This window comes from Homo sapiens, chromosome 7 (assembly GCF_000001405.40).
Source record: "Homo sapiens chromosome 7, GRCh38.p14 Primary Assembly".
Classification (NCBI taxonomy): Eukaryota; Metazoa; Chordata; class Mammalia; order Primates; family Hominidae; genus Homo; species Homo sapiens.
This window is the reverse complement of record NC_000007.14, coordinates 83,796,056-83,808,618: the sequence shown is the minus strand read 5'-3', so window position 1 is coordinate 83,808,618 and position 12,563 is coordinate 83,796,056. Positions and strand designations below refer to the sequence as shown.

At 36.6% G+C, this 12,563-nt stretch overlaps 2 annotated features.

The window, feature by feature from the left end:
- Positions 9,874–9,933: an enhancer, noted in NCBI's record as "active region_26217". NCBI's record gives its function as "activates an Ori minimal core promoter by ATAC-STARR-seq in GM12878 lymphoblastoid cells {active_cell/tissue: GM12878}" and the evidence as "EXISTENCE:reporter gene assay evidence [ECO:0000049][PMID:35858748]".
- Positions 11,470–11,519: an enhancer, noted in NCBI's record as "active region_26216". NCBI's record gives its function as "activates an Ori minimal core promoter by ATAC-STARR-seq in GM12878 lymphoblastoid cells {active_cell/tissue: GM12878}" and the evidence as "EXISTENCE:reporter gene assay evidence [ECO:0000049][PMID:35858748]".

Genomic DNA, 12,563 nt, shown 5'->3' with positions numbered 1-12,563 from the left:
GAATCAATGCAATTTTAATTACTGGCCCAGGAACAAAGGTATTGTGATCATAACATTGCTCCTTATTTAGTACATGTAGTTGGTTAATTTTCTGTTTTTGTAAATATATTGGTAAATTTTCACTTGAATTTTCGGTTTTACTAATCTTTGCCCCTCATGCTGGCACTATAACTCATGCTTTCTCTGTTCTATGTTTATTGTTTATTTGTCATTATTTATTTCCATTCTATTGGTTTTAACTTCGTCACAAAAAATTGGAAAGATTAATGGATGTTTATTATATTAGTTTGTTAGATCTGCTATTACGAAGTATTGCAAACTGAGCTGCTTAAACACCAGAAATGTGTTGTCTTGCAGTTCTGATGGCTGGAAGTCCAAGATCAAGGTGTCACCCCTGTTTTTTTTTTCATAGAGCTGTGAGGAAGAACAAATACCATACCTCTCGCCCAGTTTCTGGGGACTCGCTAGCAATTTTTGGTGTTCCTTGGTTTGTAGAAACATCACCCCAATCTCTGCCTTCATCTTTACACAGAATTCTCCCTGTGTATGTCTTTCTCCTCACATGGCATTCTTTTATCAGGACACCAGTCATACTGAATTAGAGGCCCACTCTACTCTAATGTGACCTCATCTTAACTTAATTACATCTGCAATGACCTCATTTCCAAATAAGGTCACATTCTATTAATACTTGTGGTTCGCACTTCACCGTATGAATTTTTGCAGACACAGTTCAACCCATAACACTTATTATCTTTGAAAACAAGAATAGAGAAATTAAATGAATGCACAAATTTAACTAAAACAAATTGCCATGCGCTTGTCTAACACCTTCACTGTAAATCTTGTAAATGAGATAAATGTCTATATTACTAGGACACAACAATTAAAACCAAAACTACATCGTGGCTGGTAGACTATTACTTGGCTAAAAAAAAAAAAAGTTTTATTTTTTCATCTAATTTTCTCATTCACAGAAATGACAATGTCTCTCTTTTCATTTGTACTTCATTTAGAATAGTTCATTTAGAATCATATTCAACAGTTATAAATTTGAACAGAAATATTCTATCCATCAATACCTTCAAATTCCACATTCTTAATGTGAATTATCTATTTTTTCCTAGTCTGGACTCTCGTTCTATATAGATTTACATAAATAATTAAGTTATAAAGTTAATTTTTAAAGTATATCTATTCTGTAAAATGCTCTTTTTCCTGTACAGCAATGTTTATATAAGACAGACATTATTGTATTTAAAGCGCAGACTATTTTAGTGGTTATTTCGTGTTTCTTTTAACCACCTTGAGATTTTCTACATGTCTTCTTCTATATCTCATCTTGCTTTCTATACAGGTATCTGCTTACCCCCTCTTCTAGTTGTATCTGAAGCTCTGCTTATAAGAGCTTCCTTTTGTCAGTTACTCAATTTGGAAAGTGGGTTTTAACCTTATTATTACATTATCCCAAATTAAGTTCATATGAAAATATACCTTCTATGTGGATTTTAAAAGCAAATGGGAAATGATGAGAAATAATACAGGAACAACAATCATACCAAAGAATCTAATTTGCACTCTTTGGGAGATCAATTATATTTTTTTCCAAAATTACATAAACATAAATCACATCACAAATTTATTAGTTTTAAATGTTTCCTTTTAGTATTAAGAAAATTACAGCTGACAAAATAGAGTCCTAAAGAACACTGATTTGCATCTGTTACTCCCTCCAGAGATCAGTTCTTGCCATTATAAGTCAATCAAAAATCAAGTTAAGCCTCTTGACATAATTGGAAGTTTCAAAGTGATCTGAAGAGCACAATTTTCTTTTACATATGTCAAAGCTAGATGAGAAAAATACCATGGGAACAGAAAGGTCAAGGGCTAATCCACTCCAAAGTCATTAAAGATCATATTTAAATTGCTCTGGAAACTTCAAGGTTCTTAAAGCCATCATCAAATTCCCCAACAGAACGAGATGCCTGTAACATGACAGCTGCTCTCTATAGGAAAGGAAGAATGTTTCTTTTTCTGTTAGGCTGAAATGGAGCTTTGATTTTCAAAGTTTATTTTGCCATACACATACTTGTTTTAAACAAATGTATTTAAATTTTTAAGCAGAAATATATTATGTCATAATCGAAAGATGTTTTAGCTTAAATGAACCTATTTTGTATTGCATTTTATAACACTGTATTTGTAAAATTAAGTGCAGCAGTCTTCACAATACCACCATATAAAATACTGAAGGAAAGGAGTTTCCCATTTATCCTGAGCATATCACCCTCATTGAAGACCTCAAGCAACAAAGTAAGTACCTAAGGAATCAAGGCTATAATATGATCATACTTTTAATAAATCTTCCAGATGAGATAATTACTTTTTTCTTACATTTTGGCAGTGGAAACGTATTTTATTATAGGGTACTAAATCATAAGCATTAAATTATGCTATCGGGTTACTATGATCAAAAGAATTGGACAGACACATGTACATACATATCCACAACACCACAAATGAATTTGTGGGACAGAATAGAGTGTATAAACAATTCCAAATATGTATATATGTATGCATTTACTGTGTAATAAAAGCTGCATTTAAATTTAGTGGGATAATAGGTTTCATAATAAACAGGTTGAGCAGAAAAGTAAAAATGAATAATAAATCTATGAAATAATATCCGATCCAGGGAAATAAAAATGCCAACATGACCTGATACCACTTTTTATTAATTAGATGGACAAATTTAAAACAATTGATGATAGCAAGTGTTTATTAGGTGTAAGAAACTGATGATCTTAAAAATATACTGAGATAAGTGTATGTATATAAAGTTTGTGGAAAGATTTTTCTAAAAATATTTGGCAGTTTCAATAAACTGTCAAGTACACATGCGCTTTGAAAAAGCAGTCCTACTTCTAAGACTCTGACCTTCAGAAATAAATATAACAGTAAATTAGACTATATTATAATAGTACTTACTGCAGCATTATTTGGAGTGACAAAAACTGGAAACAGTAATGACCACTATTAGGGAAATTGAATAAATTACACAATATCCATGTTATGTAGCTATTACATTTATAAAACTAGTTAGATCTATAAAAAATTTACCTGAAAAGCAAATGGTTACAATATGTTGTTTATAGGGGAAAACAGGCAAATTGCCCTTTAATGTCTTGTAATGTGATGCCATTTTATAAAAACAAAATTGGGGGACAATATATAATGGTATGTATAGCTATGGTTTAAGGCCAAATTTATGCTACTGAAGTTTTAGTTTAAGTCAAATCCAATATAAAGAGATCTAAACATCTGGATTGGCTTAACACTTTATATTGCTGTCATGCAGATATTTTCTTTAAGTATTTAATGTTTTAGACAGGAGGAAGGGTAGATTATTTACTTTGGATATACTGATTTTTAAAAAGAAAAATAAATTCAAGTGCTAAAATAGTTATAGTGCTTCCTAAACTTCAATTGTCCTGCTCATATCAAGAAAAATGTATAGTTGTCATCAATATTCATTAATCAGAAGCTAAGCAATAGATTAAAGAAGAAGGTGCATAGCTGGTCTATTCTCACCCTCCTCTTTTGTTCCTAAGACCTATGCCTACGTCAGGAAAAAACTATCCCTGGCCTTAGAGATCACTAGTCTTGGAAATAATTATAATAATTACATGACGACTACTAAGTACATATCACTGCATCATCTTTCTAATGGCTCTAGTAATAAAAGTCATACTATAAATTAGATGCACATTCCAGATACAAACTGATATCATGGTTCCTGTGTATGAAGTTACTGTATTGCCATTTTTAGGGTCACTGTATTGGATACATCTGTAACCAAACTCACAGTAACTAAAAGTGCTATTGTCTTAAACAAACAAATTAACAAATAAATAAATAAATGTTATGGACTGCATTGTGCCCTCCCAACATTGATATGCTAAACCACTAAGCCCCAGTGTCACTGTGTTTCGAGAAAGCCTCTAAGAGGGAAACTAAGGTTAAATGAGGTTATTAGTGTGGGTCCCTATTCCAATATGACTGGTGTCCTTGCAAAAAGAGACAGAGACACCAGGGATGCACGCATGCAGAGAGAAGACCACATGATGACATAGTGAGAAGGCGCCTCTCCGAGTCAAGGAGACAGGCCTCCAGAGACACCAAACCTGGCAACACTTTAATCTCAGACTTCCAGTCTTCAAAACTGTGAGAAAATAAATTGCTGTTGTTTAAGCCACTTAGTGTGTGGTATTTGGTTATGGCAGCCCTAGCTGACTAAGCCAACTAATACATTATAGATAGATAGACAGATGATAGATAGATAGATAGATAGATAGATAGATAGATAGATAGATAGGCACACACACATGTATAAACATTTTAAACATTTATGTATTTAATGGACATTCTAGCTCCAAATGTGTATTTGTAGCTGTAATGTATACATATATATATACTCAACATATTTGTATCTATTATACAAGCACACACTGAGAAATGTGTAAGGTTATATAACACAATATCACTGTACTTTGTAAAATAAAAGGTAAGCTATGACATTCAGATAGAAATTTCTACCTCAACTCATGACACCAAGGGGGGATGGTAAGATACATTGAACATGGAATTTGGAAATCCAAGTTGTACAAAAGACCAAAAATACACAATTATTTTATCTACCTTTACTTTCTTCATCCCCATCCTATTCCTCCACCCACATCTGGTGTGAGTGGAGAGAATGTTTGCTACAAATGATTGTAGATTTATGGTTCTAAAAAAATTGAAATGTGTACCAGGAGGCCAAGTCATTTAAGCAGCTGTTCTGGGATCATGTTCTATTACTAAGGATTAGTCCATAATGATACAAAACCATTTAACATGTGCCTGGACCCCCAAGGAAAGTGGAAACCTGCTTAAGTGTTCATGAATCAGCCACACTAATAAGGAATTAAATTGCTTGGAAAAATCTACTGGGAAATCCTTACTGGACATAGGTATGAAGAAAAAAAAAATGACATTGTAGCACAGGATTTGAGAAAGGTGACAGATCATTTTTCCCAAAAGAAATATCTCTAGAAAGCAGTAAGTTTACCTTGAGCAAGATAATACAATTATAGTAAAAAGAACACCAGACTGAAAAATTCAGCATATAGATATTTATATCTCTACGTTCTACTGCTCACTGGAACCAATATCACCTTCAAAGGGGCAAAATTGGTTCTTGGGTAGAGTGAGAAATCTTAGATCCTACAATGGTCTGCGGCCTTCCAAAAGATTCCAGTATACAAACAATTGTACCTTATATCAGTGGTGTTACAATTTCATGGAGTGGGGGTAATTAGGAAAAAACTGTGCACAAAGGTTTCACAGGGAGACAATGTTTTTTAGAAAGCTGAAAAACACTGCTGTAGGTAAATTATAACATGGATACCGCATACACAGATATAGAGCAAAGATACGTGGGCATATCTGCTCCTAGCTTCCTAATACAGTAAAGGAAACGACTAAAACTCCCCTCTTACAGCCCACCAAATTTGCAACCTAGGGATCTCCAAAGCACTCCCCAAACTTTATCTGAATTTATAGGAGGTTTACATTCTCTTGGCCTCCTCTGCCTCTTTCTTCCATCTTATTATTTATTTATTTATTTTTTCCAAGACAGAGTCTTGCTCTGTCACCCAGGCTGGAGTGCGGTGGTGCAATCTCCGCTCACTGCAAACTCCGCCTCCTGGGTTAAAGCAATTCTGCCTCAGCCTCCCGAGTAGCTGGGACTACAGGCACCCGCCACCACATCTGGCTAATTTTTTTTATTTTTTAATAGAGATGGGGTTTCATCATGTTGGCCAGACTAGTCTCGAACTCCTGACCTTGTGATCCATCCACCTTGGCATTCCAAAGTGCTGGGATTACAGGTGTGAGCCACCTCACCTGGCCGCTTCCATCTTTCTGTTAGTCTCTACTCACTCCTCTGATGATAAAAATGTGGAAGAGAGTAGCTTCATAAAATTCCACAAAATAATATTAACATTTAAAAAAAAATGCACAAAACATTTATGAGTCTGGTTGACATTACTCCAAAGGTGAGCATAAGAGACAGGGTCACAGAATTCAGTGGATAGCAAGCCACAGGCAAATCATACACTTATGTTCTTCGAAACCCTTGTTGGCCAACCCACAGGTGGGAGTGTTCTCTTGGCCCTTCCATCACACAGCACTTGACCTGTATCCTCTTTCCTTTTCTTTCCTCTTATCTCTCACACTTGTTGAACCCTACCCCCAACCCTGTCCCCAGACACACACAAAATTTCTCTTTTCACACAAAAACACTCAAACCTCTTTTCTGGAACCTTAGAAACTACTGACTTCTTGGATACTATAACTCATTACTTGAAGATTTTTATTCCCGGCGTACCATCACTCAGGCCAAAATGACTCCTGTTACATTTCTGGATGATTTTAATACCCAGGCAGGTTAAGCTTTTAGTCCTTTGGCTTTGGAGTTCCTTCAACTCTTCTCCTCCAATGACCTCTTCCTCCATTCTACCTTAGCCACTTATTTCCATGATAGTGACTTAGGCCTTTTATTGCCAGTAGATGTACTTTCCACAGTTTTAATAATAAACATTCCCCCAGCGCTCATCACTACCTCTTTCCGGTTCTCTTCTGATTTCCTGACTGCAAAAGTACTGATGTCTTCAACTCATTGATACTACTACTATTTTAATTTTCCTCAGCCCCCTTCATGGCTTCTCTGGCCATTTAATCCAATTTGAATCCTGTGGCAATCACTGTAATCCTTTCCTTGTGAAAATCTGTAACTCTCTCACTTCTTATATTCTACCATCCTTGTTTGGAAAAAGTCGCATGCCTGGTTAAATATAACCCTTTTCTTTCTCCATGGCTATTCCTGCACAGCTGAGCACGGCTTTAGAAAAACACACAATCGGCCGGGCTTGGTGGCTCACACCTGTAATCCCAGCACTTTGGAATGCCAAGATGGATGGATCACGAGGTCAGGAGATCAAGACCATCCTGGCTAACGGGGTGAAACCCCGTCTCTACTAAAAAATACAAAAAATTAGCCGGTCGTGGTGGCGGGCGCCTGTAGTCCCAGCTACTTGGGAGGCTGAGGCAGGAAAATGGCGTGAATTCGGGAGGCGGAGCTTGCAGTGAGCCGAGATCGTGCCACTGCACTCCAGCCTGGGCGACAGAGAGAGACTCCGTCTCAAAAAGAAAAACACACAATCAAGAATCAAGAATTATAGTAAATAAATTTACACAATGTTGAATTATCTCACTTTAAATATGTGACTACCAACCTAGAGAGGGCACTTTTCCTGCCTGGTAATTCTACTACATTTTTTTAGTTCATTAAATCATCCACTTATGTTACAAATTCTTGTGCCACCTCCCCATTCCCATTCTTGGATGAAGATCTTGCTTCCCTCACTGAGAAAGTTGAACCAGAGGAAGGGAAGGTCTATAGGCTCTTAATCCCTAATCCACCCCTTTTCTGTTGGCATCCATCTAACTCTGTCTTTCTACCATCTCCATAGACCAACCTCTATCTAGACCATCTCCATAGACCATCTCCATAGACCAACCTCCATAGACCAATCTCTATCTAAGGACAAATCCCATTTATGTCTATGATGGAACTTTTGCTTTTCCATCTTCAGGGACACGGGTCTAGAATTCTTTTCTCTACTGCCTATGTTTTCTGTATCTCCCTTTCTACTGGATCTACTAGGTCATCATTATAAAATCTTCAATATACAAATATGCTATTATTTCTCCCATCTTTAAAAACAATCAAAACTTTCTAACTCCATTTTCCCTGCCAGCTAGACTACTTTTATATCCCCCTTTTATAACAAATTCTTCTATTAATACATTTACTCTTTCTAATACCACTTATTAGGTTCTCTCTAACCCAGGTCCATTAGTCTATAAACCCCACAACCTCACCAAAAGTGTGTCTGTCAAAGTCAGTTATGATTCTACATTACTAAATCCAATGGTCCATCTCAGTCTTCAACTTACTTCACCTGTCAGAAACATTTGTCACAGTTGATTACTCCTCTTGTTTGCAACAATTTCTTCAGTTCCCTGGTGGATTTCACTTTTTTGGTTTCTACTGGCCAGTCTTTACCTTTGCTGGTTCCTGGTCCTCTTTAAAGCTAGAATGTCCTAGACCTCACTCCCGGGATCTTCAATTTTTTACATGTATTAATTCCCTTAATTATCTCAGTAAGTCTCATGGTTTCAAAATTACATCTATATATTTATTACTCCCAAATTTTATCTTCAGCTCAGATCTTTCCATTGATTTCTAAACTCTTACTTCTGACTGTTCCATTTTCCATTTGAATGTCTAATTGGCATGTTAAACTTGTCCAGAAATGAATTCCTGGTATTTTTCTCCACAATCTATTTTTCCTACAGTCTTCCTCATTTTGTAAGTAGGCTTCTATATTACTAATTGTTCAGGACAGTTGGAAATCATGTTCAATTCTTTTCTTTTAGTCACATTCCCCACTTAATCCAGTACAGATAATTTGGAATACACCCAAAAACATAAACCATTTCGCACTACCTCCACCGCTGCCTGTCTGGTCTGAGCTAAAATCATCTGTACCTTGGATTATCACAATAGCCTCCAAACTGACCCTTCTTTCTTCCATATTCCTCCTGCCTCCCCTCCGCCCAAAACTATTCTCAACACAGCAGCCAAATTGGCATGTTAAAATGTAAGTCAGACCATGCTACCCCCCTCAAAACCCTGCAAAGACATCCCAGGTTACTCAAAGTACAAAATGATAAACAATGAGAGAGAAAGAAAAGAACAAAGGATATACAGAAGAACCAGAAAAGCCTAATCGTTACTAACCATCCATCTTCTGCCTGTGCCCTGCCTTGCCTCTCTGATTTCATATATTGCTGTTCTGCCTTTTGCTCACTCTGTTCCAGCCCTCAACCTTTTCCATTGTAATTCTCTGTGCCTAGAACACATCTCCTCCACCTACAGATACACAAAAGGCTTCCTTCCTCTTTCCCTGCAAAGTTTGCCGTCTCATAGAGGCTTCCGCTAACTACTTTATGTAAAGTCACAACCCTCTACCGCTTTCTCCTCTCATTGCAATCCTCATTTCTCTTTCTTGTTTTACTTTTCTCCTTAGGACTTTTATCCATCTGACAGATCGCATATTACTTGTTTGTCTTCTACTCACTGTTTCTAGTACAGGGCACCATGTATGAGAACAGATAATTTTGCCTGTTTTGTTCTCTGTTAATATCCCAAGTGCTGAGAGCCATGCCATGATGTGTGTGTGTATTTATGTATTTATTATATATACATATATATCTCTGTGTATGTGTATGTATGTTTGTATATTGAATGAATTAATGAATGTTGATTGAATAAATGAATGAATAGAAAACTATTAATATTAGCCTCCTTCCCTTCCTTGGATCTCAAGAAATATTGCAATAGTGATTAACTAATAACTATTTGGAATTGCTATACAACCTGTTTTCTGTGTAAGTAAAGTATTTAATCTATATAATTTTTTTTTTTATTTAAGATGTCTGGGTAGCATCTCCTTATGGCCAACTTGTGGTACCAGTTACTATGACTAGGTAACAAATTACTCCAAAACTTAGAGCTGTAAAACAATCATTTATTACATCTACGGAAGCTATGGGTCAGGAATTCAGAGCAAGCACAGCACCGTTGGCTTTGTTGTACTCTGAAATGTCTGAAACCGCAAACGAAAGTGCTGTGAGCAAAAATCACTTGCAAGGTTGATGCTGGCTGTTGACAGGGAAACTCAGTTCCTCTATGTGTGGGTTTCTCCATGTGGTTTTTCCACATGGGCTGGTTTGAGCTTCCTCAAGCTCCATATCGTTGCTGGCTTCACCAGAGTAAGAATACCCAAATGAGCAAGCCTAGTAGAAGCTGTATCCTTTTTATAACCTAGCCTCAGAAGTCACAATATCACTTCCACTGACAATATTGCTTAGAGCAGTCACAAAGCCCCTGGCAAGTATAAGAGGAGAAAACAGAGACTCACCTCTTCACGGAATGAGTGTCAAAGTTACATTGTAAGAAGAGCAGGTGCAATGAGAAATGTTGCAGTCATTTAGGAAAATACAATCATTCACATTTTTTGGTTTCTATTGGCTAGTCTTTACCTTTGCTGGTTCCTGATCCTCTTTAAAGCTGGAATGTCTTAGGCCTCACTTCCTGTATCTTCAATTTTTTACATGTATTAATTCCCTTAATTATCTCAGTAAGTCTCATGGTTTAAAATTACATTTATATATTGATTACTCCAAAATTTTGTCTTCAGCTCAGTTCTTCACATGTGCCTGTGTAGAATTGTCAAGAATTTTCTTGTTTTCTATCTCTCCATTGATGAATCCAACTAGACATGCTTATTCTTTGTAATTCAAAATGAGAACCAATCACATTTGTATTGTTAGACCTGTTCTAACAACAACATATGCATGTGTGTGTGTGTGCATGTGTGCATGCATGTGTGCAGATGTGACATAAGAAATATACATCTTGTTTATGTGTCAGGTTCCTGAGATAGTGCTCCTAAGTCCTGTGGAATTTCCTGGGTGATAGAAGAGTATTTTGTTCTAATGAACCAACTCTTGTCAAATCCCTCAATAACTTCAGCATGGCCTAACCCTATATCAGTTGAACCCGTATTTGACCCATAACTGATCACAGTGGTTCAGATAATGAACCATTGACCGAAGCCTGCCATGTGATAGAGCCACCAGTAAATGGGTTGGATGGTCACTAGAAAGACTGAACCTCCGTTAGAGACTTGGAACTTTCAGCCCCATTCCCTGCAACCTCCAAGGAGGAAAGAGGGGCTGGCAATTGACTTAACAGTCAATCATGCCTACATGATGAAACTTCTATAAAAACTCCTAAACAATGGGGCTTGGAGAGCTTCTGGATTGATGAACACAAGGTACTGGGAGGTAGTGTGCCCAAAGAAGACATGGAAGCTTCACACATCTCCTGGCATGTTTTGCCCTATGGACCTCTTTTATTTGGTTACTCTTGAGTTGTATCCTTTACAATAAATCAGTAATAGTAAAGTGCCTTCCTAAGTTCTGTGAGCTATTCTAACAAATTGTTGAACCTGAGAATGGGATCATGGGAATCCCTGGTTTATAAGCAGCTGGTCAAAAGTACAGGAGACTGTGACTTGCCTTTGTCATCTGAAGTGGGAGTAGTCTTGTGGGACTGAGTCCTTAACCTGTGAAGTTTATGCTAGCTCTGGATAGTTAGTGTCAGAATTGAATTGAATTGCTGGACATCCAGTTAGTGTATGAAGAGTTGGAAGATTGCTGCTGTTGGAAAAAAAATGCAGAGTAAATTATATGTGTGTATATCTATAATCATAGAAAATCATGTTGGAAAGGCATTTTTGCATTCATTTTTCTGACATTCTGTTTCTGCAATATCCACAATACACATATACCACATCAAGTCCCACTCTTGTAGCTCTATTTTGGAAATCCCCAATTAGTATAAAGGTCTTTCTCAGAATGAATACATATTGACCAGAGATAGCACTTGCTCTTTAAGCAATTTTTTAAACAAGATAAGCATTTTCAGTTCTCTGATCTATGGGTTCCCTATGATAGTAACCCTTCTGCACTATCACCTGTGACCTTATATCAGCTGAAACCTTTTTGGCCCATAACTGATCACGACGGTTCAGACAATGAACCACTGACCAAAGTCTGCCGTGAAAAAGCCACCAGTAAATGGGTTGAATGAATATTATCAGATTTAATCCTTATAGCAACTTTTTAAGGTACATGTTACTACATACATTTCATAAATGAGAAAGAGGGCATATTTAAACTTGCTATGCTTTATTTAGTAAGTGGAAGCCAAATTAATGTCCAGAACCTTCTTAACTTTCTACTACAGTAAGATCCTTCTTTCTGGAGCTAATTCTACTCCTGTTTGCTTTCTCATAACTGAGGAGTCGCCATTCCTCATCTTTTGTGAGGCATCAGGAGTCTGCTTTTCCATTAAACCTGCATTATTTTCCTTACTTTGTCCAATGACACATAGGCACGGTTATTACAAAACTGTTGGGAAGCACATTAGAACAACCTTTTAGAACAGGCTGTTTTACAAAATACTAGGCTTGAAATTAGGTAATCATTTTGCAAAAGGGAAAATAAAGAAAGAAAAGAAAAAATTATCTAGTTAGAACAACAAAAAGAATGAATACCTAAAAACTGAAATTCTCAAAATTACACTCAGCCACCAAAGCAAGAGTCAAACGGAAGTCACAAACATTTAATTCATGCTCTGGGATGAGTATACAAACAGTTAGAGAGAAGAGTGAGAGACATTGTTTTCTCTCTATGATCTTAACACTTAATAATTCAGTAACATAAGTAAAAATGTAACTATAATGCAAGACAAGGTAAGAGAAATGCTGTAAGAAATGTATAAGTGAAGTGCTTCAGGGAGTTGAAAGGAAGGTCTGTGCCAGGGC